Below are 24,190 nucleotides of genomic sequence, written 5' to 3'. Positions count from 1 at the left end.
TTAATCTCTGTGTCTCATTTTAGTCTTCTTTAAAAGTGAGAATAACATGAGTAAACTCATTGCTGTGGATGGCTTTCCTCATGAGGCAGACTCTGGGATGAAAAATAACATGCCAGAAGTATTAGGACTACTGATGGGATCAGAGCAGGTGAAGGCAAAGAAAGGGAGGGGGGTTGGCAGAGGGTGAAGTTTTACTTCAATGCCAGAAAAGAGTGTGACTTTGGCTAAGTTGCTCTCCCTATGGTTAAATGGTTCAGTGTATATACCTTAAAAATAAAATTAGGCAGTTACTTACATGTGGAAGAAGCTGAATTTGTCCATTGAACCTAAGAGGCTTAAGACAAATCAATAGATGCTAAATACATATACACACATGCATACACACACACACATGCACACACATACACATACATGTGTGAGAAACAGGAGTGGGAAAAGTAAGTATAAACTTTACAGTTTTTAGTCAAGAAGTCAAATTTTTTGTGAATCATAATATTAAAACATAAAATTGCATGTGTTAATACTGCTGTGTATATATTTGAGTGGTGTTTTAGATCTGTGCCTCACAAAACTCTGTATGATGGTTATCTTAATCTTCAGATAAGGAAATTAAGAAATAGAGAGGAAAAGTGATTTTTTTTAAGATTACAAGGCTAGAGAGAAGTAGATTCAGGACAGGAAACCAGGTATTCAGTTTTTCATGAGTCTTTATCCACTGACGCTTCTGTTTGCCAAAAGTGTCAGATGCATATGTATGAATTAAAAAATGCATTTTACTTCAGAGTTCAATATAAGTAATTTTGAAATACATGTAATAGTTATATGTGATTCTCATTTATTCCACAATTATAAGAAATGGGAATACCTAATGAACTGATTCATGTTTTTTTCAAGCTAATGTGAAAATATAAGTATTAGAATGAATCTCTCACAAGAAGTTTCTTTTTTCTGAGACAGGGTCTCACTCTGTCACTCAGGCTGGAATGCAGTGGTGTGATCATAGCTCACTCAGCCTCAAACTCCTGGGCTCAAGCAATTCTCCCACTTCAGCCTCCAAAGTAGCTGGGACCACAGGTATGTGCCACCATGCCAGGCTGATTTGAAAACAAAAAAATTTAGAGATGGGGTCTTGCTGTGTTGCCCAGGCTGATAGCAAATTCCTGGCCTCAAGCAGCCTCCCAAAGTGCTGGGCTTGCAAGTGTGCACCAACACACCCAGCCTGGAGGCTTCTTAAAGAAAGATTATTCATTTTTCCAGTAGTCCAGAATGACAATTGCATTGTAATTTTAGGTAATCTGTGTCAAGTTAATTTAGGTTATTTAAAATTTCTCTGAGAAGTAATTTCTGCTAGAAGCTTTTAAAGTAGATTGCAAAGAACGCTATTCCTCAAAATAGAGGAACAGTTTACATTATCTGTTCATTTTCTTTCTTACTGGCATGAATATTTGAAATCAATTTGTAACAAGCAACATGTCTTGAGTTTTCTTTATTTGCTACTTCCTATCTAGACACTTCATAGCCCCATGCAAAGAAAACATACACTCAGTTAAACCACATATAGCATGCATCAATAAATCCATGCTGAAATTATCTTAGAGATGAGAACTTATGATATCTTCACAGAAACTATGAAATAAATTATTGCTTTAATCTTAGGTTTGAAACACAGGGACTGACTGCCAGACCTTTTTAGAATGTTGAAAACCTACAAGTATTGTTCCAAAATGTTGCTTTGTTTAGCTATGTAATAAATAGATTAGCCAGGAGTAGACACGTAAGTACAGTATGGGCACTGTATATACATTAGCAAGAAAATGTTTTTCCGTACATTTTCACCCTGCAGTATTATGGAATAATTACCGTTATTCGTTCTTAACATAAAGGTAGAATCCAGAAAGTTTCTTCCTATTTCTAGCACTGATTTAATTTGCTGATTTAATTTGGAGGGCATAAGGACAATGAATGCATGGTGAAAAATGTTTATGAGTGTGTAGGAATGTGTGTGTGTGTGTGTGTAGAAAAGGAAAGTTGTCCTGGGGAAAAGTACTGGATTAAAAATTTCTTGATTGTTGCAGGAGGGCACTGTATTGCCAGGTCCCTGGATGTGGTGTGAAGACTGTTCTCTACAAAACTCTAGAAGGCACGATTTTCATCAGATTCACAGCCAGCGTGGCCATACGCAGTAAGCCTGTATTAGGTAGCCATGTTTATTGCCCCAAATACTACCGAGCCATAGGCAATAACCTGGCTTTCTTTTCTGTAAAAATTATGTTAGTAAAACTTGACTACCTTATTTAGAAGTTTGTGTTAAATCAAGTTTAGCCTGAAGTTGCTTGCTTACGTATTTTAAGTTCAGCCTAAAGGTCTCTCTATACGTGTGAACTATAACCTAAATGGAGATATAAACAGACTGTAACCTATTCTCGTGCCAGTCACCGAGTTTTGGCCAGTCAAAGGGGGACAACTGTTCAAACCGTGTTCAAATAAGGCAAACATATAAACAATCTGGCTGTTTTTCTACATCATGTCTTTTGTTGTTGTTGTTGTTTTGAGACAAGATCTCGCTCTGTCACCCAGGCTGGAGAGCAGTGGTGCAATCTCAGCTCACTGCAACCTCCACCTCAGCCTCCAGAGTAGGTGAGATTACAGGCAAGCACCACCACGTCTGGTTAATTCTTGTATTTTTAGTAGAGACAGGGGTTTCACCATGTTGGCCAGGCTGGTCTGGAACTCCTGACCTCAAGTGATCCACCCGCCTTGGCCGCCCAGAGTGCCGGGATTACAGGTGTGAGCCACCACACCTCCCCATGTCCATTTTCTGTAGGCCACTTTCCTTTTTCTGTTTATAAATCTTCCACCACGTGGCTGTGCTGGAGTCTCTGAGCCTACTCTGATGCAGGAGGTTGCACAATTCATGAATTTTTCTTTGCTTGATTAAACTCTCTAAAATTAATTTGCCTGAAGTTTTTCTTTAAACAGTATAAAGATGGCATTAAATTTAAAATAGGCCAAAATGTTTTGAAACAAACCTTAAGTGAATGTCAACCTTTCACTGAGATCAACACCACAAAGGTGAGGTAAGACTTTCAGCATTAAGAAATGAACCAAGAAAAGCTGGCAATAAAAACAATAAACCACTGTCAAAAACAAAACAGTAGAGCACCTAAAAAAGGGGGGAGGGGAAGAGAAAAGAAAAGATAAATAGATAATTATATGCATGGCAAATATTATATTAAAAGTTAATGGGTGCAGCACACCAACATGGCACATGTATACATATGTAACAAACCTGCACGTTGTGCACATGTACCCTAGAACTTAAAAGTATAATAAAAATATATATATATATATAAAGCATTTATTAGTGCATATCCTTTGTGAGTAAAGATTAAAATCTGGTCTACACTAATGCAGGCTAATCTCAGAATGACTTCACAGCAGGAAGGAAACCTAAGTAAGACAGAAAAGATATACTTAAATATGAAGGTTAAATGTCCTAAAGAAAAGAAACACAATTTTATGAGGTCATAGAGTATAGGAATCTGTCTTAATCTGAGTGTCTAGAAAGTTCTGGACAGCCATTGAGCTGAGATTTGTCTGGTGAGTAGGGATCAACTGGGCAAAGAGGGTTGATGACATTGGAGGTCATTTCAGAGAGAGGTAATCCACATTCAGAGCTGTGATGGGAAGAAACATGGCCTGTCTGAGGAAGTGGAGAGAGACCCATGTGACGGATGCTCAGAGAACCAGTTATTGAAAGAAGCCCGAAGAATGGGCAGAATTACATGTGAACAAGTGGTTCTTATGAAATTGTTTGGTCTGTAAATTAAAAGCAATAGGGTAATCAGAGAGAGTTTTAAGTTGGGTAAGGTTTGACAGTGGTTTGGGGATGGGGTGTATTGCAAATGGTAAGTTCCTCATTTTGAAAATATGACTATGAATACAGTACAGAGAGCTGCTTTGGCAAGGAAGGTATTTGGAGAAGGCAAAGGTGGTTGCTCCCTTGATTGCAATTTGTACAGGGATTACTAATTCTACATTAGTACTGTTAGAATTCAAGAGATGTTAAGATGGTAATAAAAGATTTGGCACTGGATCTCAATACAAGAGTTGATAGGAAGACAAGATTTCTGGCTTGTGCATCCAGAAGTTTGGTGATGCCATTTCCTAGGACATGAAACAAAGGAAAATGACCAGGTTTGAGATAGGAAAGGATGAGATGGATATTAGGAGAACAGTTTGGGACCTGTTGAAAGTAAGGATCTTTATAAGGTATCTAAATGGAAATGTCTATATGAGTCTGAACTCAACAAAAAAGATTTTGAAAACTACATAAATTTGCTAGTTATTGGTATGCAGAGGGTAGTGAATCACTGGTTTGAATGCAATGACCTATAGAGAGGGAGAGCAGAAAGGAGAAATTAGTCTGATACTAAGCCCCACAGAATCTTAGCTTTTAATGGCTAATTAATGGGTGGGGAAGGGTGAACCAATGGTGCCTGAGGCGGGGCCAGACAGCTTGAAAAGTAGAAGCCAAATGAAGTCAGAGTTTCAATAGGGAGGATGCGGTGAATAGTGTCACACAGTGCTCTGGACCCCTTTATGATGAGGATTGAGACATATTCCTTGGCTTCTCACCCAATTCAAAACATTTTCTCCGACTGGTGGAGGAAGATTGTTATCAGTTAAAATACAGCATGCCACTTGGAACTGGACAATATAGAGTTAAAGAGATATATGGATTATTGGTTTCCTTAGAAAAATGAGAAGGTATAATATTGTGTCTGAAGTTTTAACCAGTTTCAGGAGTTCACTTAAGAAAACTTGGGCTCCTGAATGACTACTCGGTACATAACGAAGTGAAGGCAGAAATAAAGATGTTCTTTGAAACCAACGAGAACAAAGACACAACATACCAGAATCTCTGGGACACATTCAAAGCAGTGTGTAGAGGGAAATTTATAGCACTAAAGGCCCACAAGAGAAAGCAGGAAAGATCCAAAATTGACCCCTAACATCACAATTAAAAGAACTAGAAAAGCAAGAGCAAACACATTCAAAAGCTAGCAGAAGGCAAGAAATAACTAAAATCAGAGCAGAACTGAAGGAAATAGAGACACAAAAAACCCTTCAAAAAATTAATGAATCCAGGAGCTGGTTTTTTGAAAGGATCAACAAAATTGATAGACCGCTAGCAAGACTAATAAAGAAAAAGAGAAGAATCAAATAGACGCAATAAAAAATGATAAAGGGGATATCACCACCGATCCCACAGAAATACAAACTACCATCAGAGAATACTACAAACACCTCTACGCAAATAAACTAGAAAATCTAGAAGAAATGGATAAATTCCTCAACACATACACTCTCCCAAGACTAAACCAGGAAGAAGTTGAATCTCTGAATAGACCAATAACAGGAGCTGAAATTGTGGCAATAATAAATAGCTTACCAACTAAAAAGAGTCTAGGACCAGATGGATTCACAGCCAAATTCTACCAGAGGTACAAGGAGGAACTGGTACCATTCCTTCTGAAACTATTCCAATCAGTAGAAAAAGAGGGAATCCTCCCTAACTCATTTTATGAGGCCAGCATCATCCGGATACCAAAGCCGGGCAGAGACACAACCAAAAAAGAGAATTTTAGACCAATATCCTTGATGAACATTGATGCAAAAATCCTCAGTAAAATACTGGCAAACCGAATCCAGCAGCACATCAAAAAGCTTATCCACCATGATCAAGTGGGCTTCATCCCTGGGATGCAAGGCTTGTTCAATATACGCAAATCAATAAATGTAATCCAGCATATAAACAGAGCCAAAGACAAAAACCACATGATTATCTCAATAGATGCAGAAAAGGCCTTTGACAAAATTCAACAACCCTTCATGCTAAAAACTCTCAATAAATTAGGATTGATTGGATGTATCTCAAAATAAGAGCTGTCTATGACAAACCCACAGCCAATAGCATACTGAATGGGCAAAAACTGGAAGCATTCCCTTTGAAAAGTGGCACAAGACAGGGATGCACTCTCTCACCACTCCTATTCAACATAGTGTTGGAAGTTCTGGCCAGGGCAATTAGGCAGGAGAAGGAAATAAAGGGTATTCAATTAGGAAAAGAGGAAGTCAAATTGTCCCTGTTTGCAGATGACATGATTGTATATCTAGAAAACCCCATTGTCTCAGCCCCAAATCTCCTTAAGCTGATAAGCAACTTCAGCAAAGTCTCAGGATACAAAATCAATGTACAAAAATCACAAGCATTCTTATACACCAACAACAGACAAACAGCCAAACCATGAGTGAACTCCCATTCACAATTGCTTCAAAGAGAATAAAATACCTAGGAATCCAACTTACAAGGGATGTGAAGGACCTCTTCAAGGAGAACTACAAACCATTGCTCAAGGAAATAAAAGAGGATACAAACAAATGGAAGAACATTCCATGCTCATGGGTAGGAAGAATCAATATTATGAAAATGGCCATTCTGCCCAAGGTAATTTACAGATTCAATGCCATCCGCATCAAGCTACCAATGACTTTCTTCACAGAATTGGAAAAAACTACTTTAAAGTTCATATGGAACCAAAAAAGAGCCCACATCATGAAGTCAATCCTAAGCCAAAAGAACAAAGCTGGAGGCATCACACTACCTGACTTCAAACTATACTACAAGGCTACAGTAACCAAAACAGCATGGTACTGGTACCAAAACAGAGATATAGATCAATGGAACAGAACAGAGCCGTCGGAAATAACGCCGCATATCTACAACTATCTGATCTTTGACAAACCTGAGAAAAACAAGCAATGGGGAAAGGATTCCCTATTTAATAAATGGTGCTGGGAAAACTGGCTAGCCATATGTAGAAAGCTGAAACTGGATCCCTTCCTTACACCTTATACAAAAATCAATTCAAGATGGATTAAAGACTTAAACGTTAGACCTAAAACCATAAAAACCCTAGAAGAAAACCTAGGCATTACCATTCAGGACATAGGCATGGGCAAGGACTTCATGTCTAAAACAGCAAAAGCAATGGCAACCAAAGCCAAAATTGACAAATGGGATCTAATTAAAGAGCTTCTGCACAGCAAAAGAAACTACCATCAGAGTGAACAGGCAACCTACAAAATGGGAGAAAATTTTTGCAACCTACTCATCTGACAAAGGGTTAATATCCAGAATCTACAATGAACTCAAGCAAATTTACAAAAAAAGAACAAACAACCCCATCAAAAAGTGGGCGAAGGACATGAACAGATGCTTCTCAAAAGAAGACATTTATGCAGCCAAAAAACACATGAAAAAATGCTCATCATCACTGGCCATCAGAGAAATGCAAATCAAAACCACAATGAGATACTATCTCACACCAGTTAGAATGGCAATCATTAAAAAGGAAACAACAGGTGCTGGAGAGGTTGTAGAGAAATAGGAACACTTTTACACTGTTGGTGGGACTGTAAACTAGTTCAACCATTGTGGAAGTCAGTGTGGCAATTCCTCAGGGATCTACAACTAGAAATACCATTTGACCCAGCCATCCCATTACTGGGTATATACCCAAAGGACTATAAATCATGCTGCTATAAAGACACATGCACACGTATGTTTATTGCGGCATTATTCACAACAGCAAAGACTTGGAACCAACCCAAATGTCCAACAATGATAGACTGGATTAAGAAAATGTGGCACATATACACCATGGAATACTATGCAGCCATAAAAAATGATGAGTGCATGTGCTTTGTAGGGACATGGATGAAATTGGAAATCATCATTCTCAGTAAACTTATTGCAAGAACAAAAAACCAAACACCGCATATTCTCACTCATAGGTGGGAATTGAACAATGAGAACACATGGACACAGGAAGGGGAACATCACACTCTGGGGACTGTTGTGGGGTGAGGGGAGGGGGGATGGATAGCATTGGGAGATATACCTAATGCTAGATGACAAGTTAGTGGGTGCAGCGCACCAGCATGGCACATGTATACATATATAACCTGCACATTGCGCACAAGTATCCTAAAACTTAAAGTATAATAATAATAAAGTAAAAAAAAAATTCATGGGGCTATATACATAAGACTTGTGCACTTTATCACGTATTCTGGAAAAATCAATACAATTCAAAACAAATAAATGCATTTCCACTTTTTTTTTAAAAAAAAAAACTTGGTAGCTACAGTAGGCACACAAATTCATATGTCTAGCATTACACCTAGCATTTACATTTTCATTAAAATGTAAAATCATTAGGAGAGGTATTAACTTACTAATAAAAATGGTTGATTACTGATCAGAAGCATTTTCATGAAAATGATAGCAGATGCGTATTAGATTCCGAGACAGACAAAATATGCCAAAGCAAATCAGTTTGGGTGAATTGTTCCCTCATCAATTCCTGTTTTAAGGCAGAGTTATATATTTATTGTCTCAGAAACAGACTAAAATGATTAAAGGTGAATTGGAAGAGAAATAGGAAAGTAAGTGGGTAGATTATAGGTTTTTCCTAGTAAAAACCTTCTTCTCTTTTATAAGTTAAATGAAGAGTGGAATTGTTCCTGGGATATAGGGACTTAGCATCTCTGCATCAGTATTTGTGGATGATAAAATATCCTGTTGTTATAAGAGTGAGTAGGAAACAACCTTGTCTATATCAATACCATCTTTATATCATTAATTCATCCCGTGAAAAATATACCACATGCATTCTAGTAAATATAGTAATTTTAATAAGATAGCATATTATAATAATGTGGAAAATAAAATGATACCCAATTTCAGAGACTTGCTTACATATCTTTGATGGGTATTGAGATCAGAATGTAAAATAACTATGCTAGAAGTTTTTTCTTGTTTATGAACTAAAGTTGTTTGCATAACCAAGTAAAAATGTGTCACTGAATTACATACTGTGTTTATACAAGACACACAGATGAAATAAAATATATCACAACACATGAGGCAAGAAACTTAAAGATGCATGATACTGCTTTTCCCATAGTCAGAGAAGCACGTAAAATATTAAATTTCTCACTAGTGGGTTCTCCATGATCTCTTCCCTGTTCCTAACCTGACTTCTTATTTTCAGATCTTATCTCCCTTCCAGTATGAAGGGAATATTTTCTTCTAATATTCAAACCTTCACTCACATTTTGGGAAAAAAGTCTCCCATCCCAACTCTGTATCACATGTTCTCCTCCTAGAATATACTCCTGACATCTGGAACAGCTGGAAAATAACAGCAGGTTTTAACAGTACCGTTAACAGTCCCCTGTGGCATCATCAGTCCCACAAAATATTCTAGGGCAGCACTCGGTTGACTCTCTCCCCTAGCATGATTTCAGACATTTTCACCCTCACACTCTCCCAATTTCTCTGATTGGACTCTTTGAATCTTTCCCTCTACTGTGGGTTCACACACACATTGACACTGTACGTGCACACACATATCAGTTGCTTAAACTGAAATTGTTGAGTTTTACATCTCTCTTCTACAAAGACCATACTTTCTCAATGTAAAACATTAATTTTCAGAAGTAGTCCAATCCAAAGCCATATAAGGTGATAAATTGTTTTCTGACTATCACATACTTCAGATATTCTAAGCAATAGATAGTGATTCACATTTGTATATATGTAAGTCCAGATTCTTCATTCCTGGCTCTTAAATGAGGCACTTCAGAGTACATATTGCCGAGACATAGGGGCTACATATGCAATTATTTCTAATAATACTAATAATACTGTATACTAGGTTCTGATTCTTAATCGGGCCCACTTCACATTCAGGCTGTGAAGAGAGGGAGGTTCTGTTGCAGTTACACGTGTCTTCACACATAAGTGAACATGAGGCTTCACGTTCTCCAACATTTTGAAATGTTTTTCTAGGCTCTATAGGGCAAATTGTGTTTGATAGGATTCCCTTTCTGTCACCACATAATTGATACTTTACACATCTTCAGGGTTGATTCATTCTTTAGTCATTAATTGATTGTCTCAAATTGTTATTTTGTTCACTTAAAGTTTGGCTACTGTTCATAGGTTGTTTTATAAATGAGTGAATTGGAGTAGAGTATCTTCAAGCTCTTTTTTTATTTTCTTTCTATATGATTTGTGCAGATTGATTTATACACTCACCTACTTCAGTTACCATTACACAAGTTTGGGCTCTGCCTTTTTAAATACACTTCTTTTATCTCCTAACAGTACTAATGCTCCCCATTCTATTCCAGCAAACCGAGCCCTATGAATTCCCAGATATTTTTTCTATATTCAAAGAATTTCAATTCTCACTGGAAGAAGACAGTTGAATAGCTGATAACAGCAGCAAGGGTATATTTCCAGTGCTTTCTGATCATTTCCTGTAAAAAAAAATGAGAAATTGTCGTGTTCTGATAGTGTTCAGTGATTTTGAAACAATTTTGCTTAGGCAGATACCAGGCTGACTGCATAAAAATCACCAAAGATGATTTTTAAAATACAACTTCTCAGTATCTCAGTATGTCTGGAGTGTGGTCCAAGAATCTATATTTTTTAAAGCTCTTCCAAGCAATTCTGATGCGAAGCCAAATTTGAAAACCTCTGCTATGCTCTGTTTGCTTCAGTTTGCCATCTAGCAGATTGCACTGTTCTAAACTGCTTCATCATTTAATATACGTATATGCACATGAATTCCAAAGTTTGTCACTTACTATCGATGAAATCTTGGCCAAGAAATTTAACATGTGAGTGCTTTAGTTTCTTCACTAATAGTTATTTTTAAGCATAAAATGAATTATACGCATCTAAAATGCTTAGAATAATGCCTGAGATAGAAAGATGTTAGTATTTTCATTTTTATTAATCATTTATTTTTTAGTCATCAGACATTTATGATGAATTTATAAAATTTCAGGCATAGCTTTTCAAACCTGGGGAATAGTAAATAAAGATTATCCCCCTTTGCTGCTGTCCCTAGAAGTGTAGTATGGAAAACAGATTTGTAAGTAAATAACCAAAATTGATGTGTTTGGATCAAAGACCTAAACATAAGAGCTAAAACTATAACACATTTTGAAGAAAAATAGGGGAAAAATTATGACATTGGCGTTAGCAATTTTTTTTGGATATAATACTAACAAAAGAAAAAATAGATAATTGCACTACTTCAAAAACTTGTGCATCAAAAGAGACTATTAATATAGAGAAAAAGCAGGGAATGGGAGAAAATTTTGCAAATCATATATTTGTTAAGGGATTCAATCCAGAATATAAAAAGAACTACAATTCAACAATAATGACAATGACATAAACCTGATTAAAATATAGGTAAAAGATTTGAATAGGCATTTTTCACAAGGTATACAGATAATCAATAAGCACATGAAACGATGTCTAACATACTGGTCATTAGAGAAACGCAAATCAAAATCATATCAAAATGAGATATCACGTCACACGCATTAGACTGCTATTATTAAAAAAAACAACAACAAATGTTGACTAGGATGGAGAGAAACTGCTTTCTTGATGTCCAGAGTCATTTTAATCTGCATATTTCTGGTTCACAATTAATTGTCTAAATTATATGTAATTTTAAAGGACTACTATCAAGGGAAGAATCTTATGTTAGAAATTTGTATATTTTCAATGATAACTTCCAAAATGCCTATGACAGATCATAGTACAATAGCTTTCAAGTTAAATCTGCACAGTGTTGACTGTGTTAGCTTCCAGTAACAGAGTTTGTCCTGCTTACTGCCAAGTGGCATATAGACCCCAATATATGACCAAATAGGTCTCTAGAGCTACAACTATAGAAAAAAAAGTCTGCAGACATAAAAATTAGGGTGAGAATGGTTGGGAAAAGAGTTACAAACTTGGTTTTGGTTTACTCTGAACAGGAGATTTTGGTTGTAAAACTTACTAAAGGCGAGAAATGTGAAAACAATGAGATAACATCGTATACCCATAATAATGGCTATTATCAAAAAAGGGAAAGAATAGTAACAACAGATGATAGTAAGTGTGATAATTAATTTTACATGTCAAATTGGCCAGGCCACAGTACACAGACACTTGGTCAAACACTATTCTAGTTGTTTTTGTGAAGGTATTTTTTAGATGCTCAAAGGCTAAATCGGCAGACTTTGAATAAAGCAGATTGTCTTCCACAGTATGAGTTGGCCTCACCCAATCACATAAAGACTATAATAGAAAAAGACTGAACTCTCCAGAGGAAGAAGAAATTCTGTCTTTGAAGTGAAACTACAGCATTAACTCTTCCCTGGCTCTTCATCCTTTCAGCCTACTATCTTGCAGATTTTGAACTTGCTAACTTCCACTATTGTATGAGACAATTTCTTAAAATCTCTCTTTCTCTCTCTTGCTCACTCGCTCTCTCATCTCTCTCTCTCTCTATATATATATATATTTATTTAGATACACATGTATGTATGTGTGTGTATATATATTTATGTGTGTATATTGTTTTTAAAAAATAATTGAGTTTTGTGTGTGTTGAGTATCTGTGTGTATATATAAATATATATACATGTATATATACAAATACATATATACATGTATATATACACACGTACATTCTATCAGTTCTGACACACATACATTCTATCAGTTTTGTTTCTCTGGAGAATCCTGCCTAATACCATGAGAACATGAAGAAGTTAGAACCCTTGTGCATTGCTTGTGGGATGCAAAGTGGGAAGCCACTGTAGAAAATGGTAAAGCAATTCCTCATAAAATTAAACATAAATTACCATATTAATCATATATCCAGCAATTCAATTTCTGGTTATATACCAAAAAGAAGTGGTAGCAGGGACTCAAACAGATATTTATATACCCATGTTTATAGCAGCATTGTTACTATAACCAAAAAGTAGAAGCAATCAAGATATTCACTAACAGAATGGACAAACAAAATGTGGTATATACATACACTAAAATATTATCCAACCTTAAATAAAGAGGAAATTCTGACATATACTATAACATAGATGAACCTTGGAGACATTATTCTAAGTGAAATAAGCCAACTCTAAAAAAAAAAAAACACTGCATGATTCCACTTATATAAAGTACTTAGCACAGTCAAATTCATAGAAGTAAGAAAAGTAGAGTGATAATTGCTGGGAGACGGGGAGGGAAAAGTAAAGAGTTGTTAAATGAGTATAGAGTTTTAGTTTTGTAAGATGAGAAGAATTCTGGAAATGGATAGTGGTGATGTTTACACAACAACCTGAGTGTAGCTAATACCACTGAACTCTATGTCTTAAAATGGTGCAGGTAGCAAATTATGTACATTTTACCACAATTTTTTAAATCGAAAATAAGTTTTGGTATAAATATATAAAAACAACCATATATTTTAAGAATTGCTAAAGTGGCAGTGTTGTCACTATTAAATGAGAAGGCAACAAAACAATTATTTAATGGGTACATATTTTCCATTTTGCAAGATGAAAACAACCCTGGATTGTGTGTTTTCAACACACACACAACAATGTGAATATATGTAACACTACTGAACTGTACATTTAAAAATGGTTAAAATGGTAAATTTTATGTTCTATATGTTTTACCACAATAAAAACTCAACTATTTAAAAAAAATCAATGTATATGGAATTAAAATGGAATTAAATTTAAGGAGCTGTGGGTTCACAGAAGAAAGGAACAATGAATCCTGCTGCATAGGATAGTGTGGGAGAACATTCATCTCTTCTTAACAGAAAATACAATGATATTAATATTATGTTTTAAAGGGTTAAGAAAGGAGCACTGGAAGAACAGAGAGGATCCATGCGCAGTGTTCAGAGTCAAGTGAACATTTTAACCAATTAAAGTATTTCAATAATTTGGAGTTTGAGGGTGGAGGATGCTCAAAAATGAGTTGAAAAGATTGCAGGACTCCTTCCTGCCCGCCCGCCCGCCCTCCTTCCTTCCTTCCCTCCCTTTCTTTCTTCTCGCTTTGTTGCTCAGCTCACTGCAACTTCCGCCTTCCGGGTTCAAGAGATTCTGTGCCTCAGCCTCCTGAATAGCTGGGATTACAGTCACATGCCACCATGACTGGCTAATTTTTAAATTTTTAGTAGAGATGGGGTTTTGCCATGATGGTGAGGCTAGTATTGAACTCCTGACCTCAAGTGATCCGCCCACTTCGGATTCCCAAAGTGCTGGGAAGACAGGCATGAGCCACCGCGCCCGGCCTTATTTCATTTTCAAACCTGCATGATCACATGAATTATTTTGGAAATTGTTTTAAAAATACAGTATCAGGCCCTGAGACATTTCCCTCATCCTGAGTTTCCTGGAATAATTACTCAGTGTCTTTCACTGCTTGGCTTATATTCCTTTATTTTATTATTATTATTATTATACTTTAAGTTCTGGGATACATGTGCAGAACGTGCAGGTTTGTTACATAGGTATACACGTGCCATGGTGGTTTGCTGCACCCATCAACCCATCATCTACATTAGGTATTTCTCCTAATGCTATCGCTCCCCTTGACCCCACCCTCTGACAGGCACCGGTGTGTGATGTTCCCCTCCCTGTGTCCATGTGTTCTCATTGTTCAGCTCCCACTTATGAGTGAGAACATGCAGTGTTTGGTTTTCTGTTCCTGTGTTAGTTTGCTGAGAATGATGGTTTCCAGCTTCATCCATGTCCCTGCAAAGGACACAAACCCATCCTTTTTATGGCTGCATAGTATTCCATGGTGTATGTGTGCTACATTTTCTTTACCCAGTCTATCACTGATGGGCATTTGGGTTAGTTCCAAGTCTTTGCTACTGTGAACAGTGCTGCAATAAACATACATGTGCATGTGTCTTTATAATAGAATGATTTATAATCCTTTGGGAATATACTCAGTAATGGGATTGCAGGGTCAAATGGTATTTCTGGTTCTGGATCCTTGAGGAATTTCCACACTGCCTTCCACAATGGTTGAACTAATTTACAGTCCCACCAACAGTGTAAAAGCATTCCTACTTCTTCACATCCTCTCCAGCATCTGTTGTTTCCTGACTTTTTAATGATTGCCATTCTAACTGGCATGAGATGGTATCTCTTGTAAATTTTTCTGAAGTTCTTTGTAGATTCTGGATATTAGCCCTGTGTCAGATGGATAGATTGCAAAATTTTTCTCCCATTCTGTAGATTGCCTGTTTTCTCTGATGATAGTTTCTTTTGCTGTGCAGAAGCTCTTTAGTTTAATTAGATCCCATTTGTCAATTTTGGCTTTTGTTGTACCATTGCTTTTGGTGTTTTAGTCATGAAGTCTTTACCCATGCCTATGTCCTGAATGGTACTGTCTAGGTTTTCTTCTAGGGTTTTCATGGTTTTAGGTCTTACATTTAAGTCTTTAATCCATCTTGTTTAATTTTCAACATCTTGAGTTAGTTTTTGTATAAAATATAAGGAAGGGGTCCAGTTTCAGTTTTCTGCATATGGCTGGCCAGTTTTCCCAACACCATTTATTCAATAGGGAATCATATCCCCACTGCTTGTTTTTGTCAGGTTTCTCAAAGATCAGATGGTTGCAGATGTGTGGCATTATTTCTGAGGCTCTTTTCTGTTCCATTGGTCTGTATATCTGTTTTGGTACCAGTACCATGCTGTTTTGGTTACTGTAGCCTTACAGTATAGTTTGAAGTCAGGTAGCATGATGCCTCCAGCTTTGTTCTTTTTGCTTAGGATTGTCTTGGCAATGTGGGCTCTTTTTTGGTTCCATATGAAATTTGAAGTAGTTTCATATTCCTGTTTATTTATTTTAGTGGTTTTAAAAAATTATGGTACAGTACATTGTCTCAAACCACATTTTGAAAGTAAGCAAAGTAAAAGTAATAAATGAATGAATGAACGAATGAACAACAACAATGAAAAAAGAGGTGTTTGGAGGTATGAGCACTGGGTTGGTTGTTTTTGCATTTTAAAGGTATACTAGTTGTTTAATATCTCTAGGAATTGACTAACCCTTGGAGAGACACTTCCCTACAGGGTCAGCAAGGCTCCAGATATTAAAGCATCAGAATACAGAAAATAAAATATATGATTAAGATAGTTATATATCAAGGAAACAAAACAAAAATCTCAGTAACAAGATAGTTAAGAGTGTCACATTCTAGCACTGTAAAAATAGATGCTCTTTTAGATTAGAGATGACATTACTAAGCTCTTTCTGTCAGGTAATGAGGTCAAACTGAAATTGCAATTAATTTAGTTGGGATTTGAAGTTTAAGGAGAGAGAGCAAATATAAACTGTTCTATAAATAAAGCTAGTTTTGAAGACAGAATGCTAGGGTAGGATCTAGAGGGGGAAGTTTGTCCTTTTTTTCAGAAGAAAGATTTGGATATCCTTAGACTAAATAAAAAATCATTATAAAGGGAGAACTGTGAGATAGAGGGGAGTGTGTATAATCTCTGGAGCAAAGTGCTGAGTGAAGAGGATCTGAATCACAGGTGGAGTGGTTAGATTTGAGTAAAAGAAACAATCGTTTCCTTGGGTGCAGATGTACTTGTGCATATGTCTATGTGAATGTAAATGAGATCATTAACTTCTGACAGCCTCTATCATCTTTGTGCAGTAGATGAAAGGGAATATAATGACAATTTAAAAGTTGAGGGGAATATGAGTTTCTTAAAGTGGCAGGGGAAAAAAGTGTTGGCAATAGTCCAAATAAAATTGAAAAATATAAATTTGTAGTCACTCCAGTGTGCATGATTCTGCCTTTTTTTTTGGCAGTCCACAGCAGTCGATGTAAAATATTCTGAGGGTGGATTCTTAACTACATTTATAGTTTGCAGTTTCATGAATGTGGAATTATGGACGCGTATGTTAGGAAAGGAAAGCCAGCTAGGGCAGAGATAATGGTAAATCTAGGTGGAAAGAGGTCAAAGAACAAAGTACTTTGAAAGGTAAGAGACATAGGAAGATTAATGAAGTATAAGAGCTAACAAAAGTGTTCAAAACAAAATACTGGAGTTTAGACTCTGCAAGGCAATAAACTCCAACTTGTATAAAAGTAACTCCATCTTTGCAGTTGTACAGGCCAATCCTTGAAGTCACCCTTGTCTTCTCTGTTTCTAACATAGCTCCATCCAATCTCTCAGTAATCCTTCAAATACATTTAGATCCCAACTACTCAGCACCATCTCTCTTAGATTAATTAGACTTTCTTCTTCCACCTTGCCTTCCCAGAGTCTATCCTCAGCCTGTAAGCTAGCGTAAGCATTTTTAAAAAGTAAATTCATGTCACTCCTCTGTTCAAAACCCTGTATATATCCCCATTTCACTCTGAGTGAATCTTTACAATAGCCTCTCTGACTTCACCTTCTACAATGCTTCTTCTTGCTTAATTTTTTCTATCGTTGTTGCTATTCCTCAAACTCAGCAGGCATACTTTCTGATTTGAACTGGCTATTCCTTCTCCTTCAAATAATCTGACAAACTTCTTCACTTCTTTCAAGTTTGAGTCCAAATCATGCTTTGTGACCACTCTTTTTCCGTAAACTGTCTCATTCACCGTTTCTCCTTAAGCTGCTCTTATTTTTTCTTTTCCTTAATAGCACTTTTTTTTTTACCTCTAACATATATAATTTACTTAATTATTAAAGTATTGCTTATCATCTGCTCCCTCTCAGTAGTGTGTAGGCTCCTAGAGAGAGGAATATTTGCTCACAAATCTATCCCAACTGTCTAGAACGGTGAATGCCACAGAATTGTGTTAAATTAAAGCTTTTTCAGTTAGTGATTTGGAGAAGTTGAAGTAAAGAAACAATGACAATAGGCACCTGGTTATTTTCCTACAAGAATGAATAGTTCAAAAGAGATTTCAGCATAGATGAAATTTGAGGTATGTTTAGATTCCTTCATGCTAGACACAGGAGAGGTAGGTGCTTAAGAGATGTCAGCATTGAGCAAATAATAGATGATTATATACAGATCAAATGAAATGGCAGTCAAGCCATAACAGATTGAATGAAGATACTCTGTGCCTTGTTTACCTTTTGCCTCATTTAGGTGCTGCTGTTCTGTGAATGTGTCCCCCAAGTTCATGTGTTGAATACTTAATACCCAATGCAGAAGTGTTTGGAGGTGGGGCCTAATAAGAGGTGATTAAGTCACGAGGGTTATGCTCTCATGAATGGATTCATGTCATTATTGTGGGAGTAAGTTCATTATCACAAGAGTGGGTTGTTACAAAAACAATTTCAGCTATCTCTTGCTGTCACACTCTCTTGCCTTTCTGTCTTCCGCTGTGGGATAATGCGACACAAGGCCCCTAACCAGATGCTGGTGCCATGCTCTTGGACTTCCTAGACTCCAGAACCATGAGCCAAATAAATTTTTATTGTTTATAAGTTATCCAGTCTCAGGATTCTCTTATAGCAACACAAAAGAGATGACAGATAGATGGCTTTGCACATACATCATGGAGTTACTCTTTTACATGTATTTTATATGGTAGAATATTTTGCTTTATTTCATTTTCTGCAAGATATTGGGATAACCTTTGTCATCTCAAAGACAAGCTAAAAAGTTTTAGAAAGGAAACAAAAGTCAGAAAATCTTGGGTGTAAAATAATTTCTGGATTAATCACATTGTCTCATTCTTTTATTTTGCTTAAATGAAAAAAAAAAATGCTTCCAGCTGGAGTAAAATTCAGAACAATCCAGAATAAAAGAACAATTTTCTGATTCTGCTACAAAGAAATGAATTACACAAATGATTGCTTTCACATTATCCAGGGCAACATTATCCCATCAAAAATCTGTGTTATTCAATTCTTTTGTACTCTTTAATAAACAAAACCTGCAAGTTTGTAAAGTTACATAAAGAATATATCACTATCATTTCAGGCAATGTGGTATTACAACTTACAAGAAATGCCTGGGAGCATCCCACTTGCACCTCTTCAGAGACAGCTTATTTTCTATCTTGAAGACTATAAAGTAAAAAATGAACATAACAAATGTTTCAGTTTGTTCCCTAGACATAGTGTAAAGCAAAGGTAATACATAACCGTAATATAAAACATGGCAATCTCTTTCTTAAGGTGTTCATATTTAGCAATATCTTTGAAGTTTCATTCATTAGGCAAATGGGGAAACCAGGACTATTATTTCTCCTGAAAATAATTTTTATTTAAGCACATAATGTAGAAATCTACATCGTTATGTGCTCTTATGTCCTGTTATATGGAGGGCAACTGCAAGACATCTCATTGCATTAGGCTGCAGACCATTAACTAAAATCATCAGAACCTACCCATTCTTTTTTATCAGAATGTAATAAAGGCATATATTCTCCCACAGGTTTTGGTTGTTCTCCAAATATTTCCTCTCTGATATATAGTGTTTTAATTTGCATTTCCCTAGTGGCATATGATGTCGATTATCTTTTCCTATGCTTGTTTTCTATCTATATATCTTCTTTAGTGAGGTCTATCGATCTATTGCCCATTTTTAATTGGATAATTTGTATCCCAGATGTTTAGTTTTAAGAGGTCTTTGTATATTTTGGATGCAAGTCATTTATCAAATATATGTTTTGCAAATATTTTCTATCAGTCTCTGGCTTGTCTTTTCATTTTCTTAACAGTCTGTTTCACAGAGCTCAAGTTTTTAATTTTAATAAAATCCAACTTCTCAGACTGTAGTTTCTGTCTTTCCTACTTAGCGGCTGGTGGTGAATTTTTGGACTTTTAAAAAAACTAATTTGGGTTCTCTTTTTCTGAGTGAGCTAAATTTATTGATCCTACTTCATTCATCACGTTTCTTGTTGACTATCTGTTCCTTTGCATCCATAATTTTCCTTGATACATCTTCTAATATCCCCCAAACCACTCCTTTTTCAATCCTTTCTATTTGCTATGTATGTTACAATTTTATAAAATTCTTTAGGGTTCATCTTTGAATGGATAGATGGATTATGAATTTTGCTATTTCTTGCCAAAATCTTTTTAAGATTGGCTGTATAAAGTAATTAGATATTTAATATTATTTTTCAGATTTTTTGTAAAGATAAGCTGCCTCTGATTAATATCTTCTCTCATTGTCATGAGTATTTAGAAATATATAATTTTTTAGTTGTGATATTGCAGATAAAAGCCACTGCTGTTTCTCATGTAGAACTCCTCCTGCCTGCATCTTTTTAAGCTTAGTGATAGCCACCCAAGCATTGAAATAAATTTCTACTAACAACATAGTTGAGGAGGCCTCAACTTTCCAGCCCTAAAGCTCCCATTCTTATTCTGTGAATGAGAAAAACTAATATGTTTGTGAAATCCAACAACATGAATATTATGACTCATCTTCTCTCTTGAGATAGTCACCATTCATAAGTTTAATGGAACATAATATTCAAGGCGTGTCTATATTTATATCTGTATTAGATATACCATTTATTTATATATTATCCATTTATAAATTGATGATAAAGACATAGGTAAATATAGATACAGAAGGCACTTTTCATGCCTAGCATACCGAATTCATTTTAGTTGTGTCTGAAATGCACATTAATTCATGGCACAATATTTCACATTTTCCTTTTCTAATCCTACTTGAATCATTTGAAAATTCAGGAGATCAAAAATATTCCTTCATTACTGGTTCAAAAATAATGATATAAAAGGAGTATGGGATGGGTAGATATGCAATTGAGCTGATGAGAAATAACCTGAAGAAAATGTCTTTAAAAAGTAAATACCTTAATTTAAAATTATTTTATTGCTAAAAATGCTAACAATCATCTGAGACCTTAGCAAGTCACGATTGTTTTGCTGGTGGGGAGTCTCGCCTTGATGTTAATGGATGCTGACTGATAATGCTGGTGGTTGCTAAAGATTGGGGTAGCTGTGGCAATGTCTTAAAATAAAACGACAATAAAGTTTGCTGCATTGATTAAATTCCTTTCACAAAAAATTTCTTTTTCTGTAGCATGCAATGCTGTTTGATAGAATTTTATCCACAGTAGAACTTAAATCAGAATTCGAGTTGACTCTTTCAAACCCTTCTGCTGCTTTATGCACTAAGTTTATGTAATATTCTAAATCTTTGGTTGCCATTTAAAGAATGTTTACACCATCTTTGCCAGGAGATCCCATTTCAAGAAACCACTTCCTTTCCGCAGCCATAAAAAGCAGTTTCTCATTCATTAAAGTTTTGTCATGAGATTGCAGCAATTCAGTCACATCTTCAGGATCCACTTCTAATTCTAGTCCTCTTGCTATTTCCATCACCTCTGCGGTGATTTCTTCCACTGTAGCCTTGAACCCTTCAAAGTCATCCATGATGGTGCAATCAATTTCTTCCAAATTCCTCTGAATCTTGATATTTTGGCCCCTTCTCATGAATCACAAAATGTTCTTAATGGCATCTAGAATGGTGAACCCTTTCCAGGAGATTTTCAATTTACTTTACCCAGATCCATCCAAGGAATCAATATCTGTGTTAGCTATAGCCTTCTGAAATATATTTCTTAAATAATAAGACTTGAAACTCAGAATTATTCCTTGATCCATGGGCTGCAGAATGGATGTTGTGTTACCAGGCATACAAACAATATTAATCTGCTTGTACATCTCCATCAGAGCCCTTGGGTGACTAAATGCATTGTCAATGAGCAGTAATATTTTGTAAGAAATCTTTTTTCCTCAGTGGTAGGTCTCAAGAGTGGGCTTAAACTATTCAGTAAGCCATGCTGTAAATAGATGTGTTGTCATACAGGCTTTGCTGTCCCATTTATACAGCAGAGGCAGAGTAGAGTTAGTATAATTCTAAAGAGCCCTAGGCTTTTTAGAATGGTAAATGAGCATAGGCTTCAACTTAAAGTCAACAGTTGCGTTAGTCCCTAATAATAGAGACAGCCTGTCCTTTGAAGCTTTAAAAGTGGCCATTGACTTGTCTCTAGCTATTAAAGTCCTCGTTGGCATCAGTCTAAGGCTGACTTGTCTACGTTGAAAATCTGTGGTTTAGTGTAATCACCTTCATCAATTATCTTATATCATCTAGGTAACTTGTTGCAGCTTCTACATCAGCACTTGCTACTTCATCCTGTATTTTTGTGTTATAGAGATGGCTTCTTTCCTTAAACCTTGTGAACTAACTCCTGCAAGCTTCAAAATTTTCTTCTGAAGCTTCCTCATCTCTTTCAGGCTTCATAGAGTTGAAGACCGATAGGGTCTTGCTCTGGACGAAGCTTTGACTCAGAGAATGTTTTCACTGCTTTTATCTTCTATTCAGACCATTAAAACTCTTTTCTTATCAGCAATAAGGCTATTTTGCCTTCTTATCATTCATATGTTGACTGGCATAGCATTTTTCATTTCCTTCAAAAATTTTTTCTTTGCATTCACAACTTGGCTATTTTAAGAGGCCTAGATTTGGCTTGTCTCAGATTTCAGCATGACTTCCTCACTAAACTTAAGTATTTCTAGCTTTTAATTTAAAGTAAAAGAAGTTTGACTCTTCCTTTCACTTAAACACTTAGAGACCATTGTAGAGTTATTAACTGGCCTAAATTCAATATTATTCTGTCTCAGAAAATTGGGATACCTTAGGAGAGGAAAAGAGACAGGACAATGGCCAGTAAGTGGAGCAATCAGAACACACACATTTGTTGGTTAAATTTTCTGTTTTATATGGGCATAGTTTTGGCACCCTGAATCAATTACAATAGTATTAGGTTGGTACAAATGTAATTACAGCTTTGCCGTTAAAAGTAATGACAAAAACCGCAATTACCTTTGCATCAACCAAATAGCATCGAAAATCACTCATCACAGATCACCATAAGAGACATAATCATAATAATTTTAAAAAGTTTGAAATAGTGTAAAAATTACCAAAATGTAACACAGAGACATGAAATGAGCACATGTTTTGGAAAAAATGGCAATGATAAACTTGTTCTGCACAGAATTGCCACAAACCTTTAATTTGTTAAAAAAAAATATGCACATACAAAATATTTAAAGTGCAATGAAAGGAAGCACAATAAAATGAGGTATGCCTGTAAACACATTTAAATAAGCACTAACACTTTCCATCATTCAACAATGTTTAATGATAGTAGTATATGTTTAGTTGTGTATATTTTTTATTCTTTTTATAAATGAAGGTGGAAATACATTGAATATAATTTAAAAGTAGGTCCTATGAGTTCTGTTTTTTGGTGTCCTATAACTTCTAATTACAGCTGTGAAACATAAAATCATATTAACTATTTTATCTTTTTAAAAAAATAGGTGCCATGAAGGTTCAAGAAATGGAAGGAGACACTTTCATTTCTTTCCTTTGGAGTGCATTGTCTTTCATGTTTCTTGTAAAGGTACAACTTTCATGTAAATTTCAGTGAACATATTCTTTGATTTGTATCTTAAAACCATCTCTCCAAATCGAAAATGACCTTTGAAAAATTGTCTTTTGATATGTTTTTTCCCAAGTTGCTTCAATACAGAATTCTAGAATTACACATTGAACATTTACTTAATATTTGTCATTTTTATTCCTTTATTCTATATCACATGTTTCTGAATTATGCTCTAAACAAAAGAAAGTTGGTAAACAAGAAAATTTAAAATTTGATCAAATAACAAATTGAGTCTCTTCATGTTCAATAAAAAATATTTTTAAGAGCCTGTTATGATTAAGTCAGTGTGCAAAACACTAGTGCCAAATATTTAAAGACTGAATGCCTAATAATTAAAGGTATAGCTAGTACAATATAGATGTAATTCAAAAGTATTTAATAAGTACAATGTGGAAATTATGATGCTAAGCAAGACTGAGATATGGAAAATTCATACCCAATTGGGAATTCCTTTTCATGAAAGAGCTATCATTTGAACTCAGCACTAATTATAGACAAACTTTAACAGTAGAAAAAAGAGGAAAGGATTCCAAAGAGTTTAAAAACTGATCCCTCATGTATCTATAGGTTTCCTGAAGATAGTTCTGCAGCATTTTGATTATCACAGGGAGATACTCAGAATTAACACTAATTCTCCAAATAAATCGATCCTCTGAAGACTGTTGGCTCTTAGCAGTTGCTAAAGCCAAGTATTGTTGGAAGTTTGATTAGAAATCAGGTCCTTTGACTACAAGAATTAAGAGCTTAATTTTGAAGTTCATAATTTTTAATTTATA

General features: G+C 35.6%; 1 long non-coding RNA gene across 2 annotated transcripts in view; it reads left to right on the top strand.

Moving 5' to 3' along the window:
• Positions 1 to 1,031: 1,031 nt before the first annotated feature.
• The window catches only part of LOC105371656 (uncharacterized), a 62,271-nt gene continuing 39,112 nt past the window's right edge, over positions 1,032 to 24,190 (top strand). Inside the window, exons 1-2 of one of the 2 annotated variants that reach the window (XR_922371.3) lie at positions 1,032 to 1,074; positions 2,076 to 2,182. This is a non-coding gene — a long non-coding RNA (uncharacterized LOC105371656). Of the gene's footprint in view, positions 1,075 to 2,075; positions 2,198 to 24,190 lie in introns of both variants that reach the window. The other variant, XR_922370.3, reaches the window with a different exon arrangement.

This window comes from Homo sapiens, chromosome 1 (assembly GCF_000001405.40).
Source record: "Homo sapiens chromosome 1, GRCh38.p14 Primary Assembly".
NCBI lineage: Eukaryota > Metazoa > Chordata > Mammalia > Primates > Hominidae > Homo > Homo sapiens.
The sequence above is the reverse complement of the archived record's forward strand: the minus strand, read 5'-3'. Positions and strand labels throughout refer to the sequence as shown.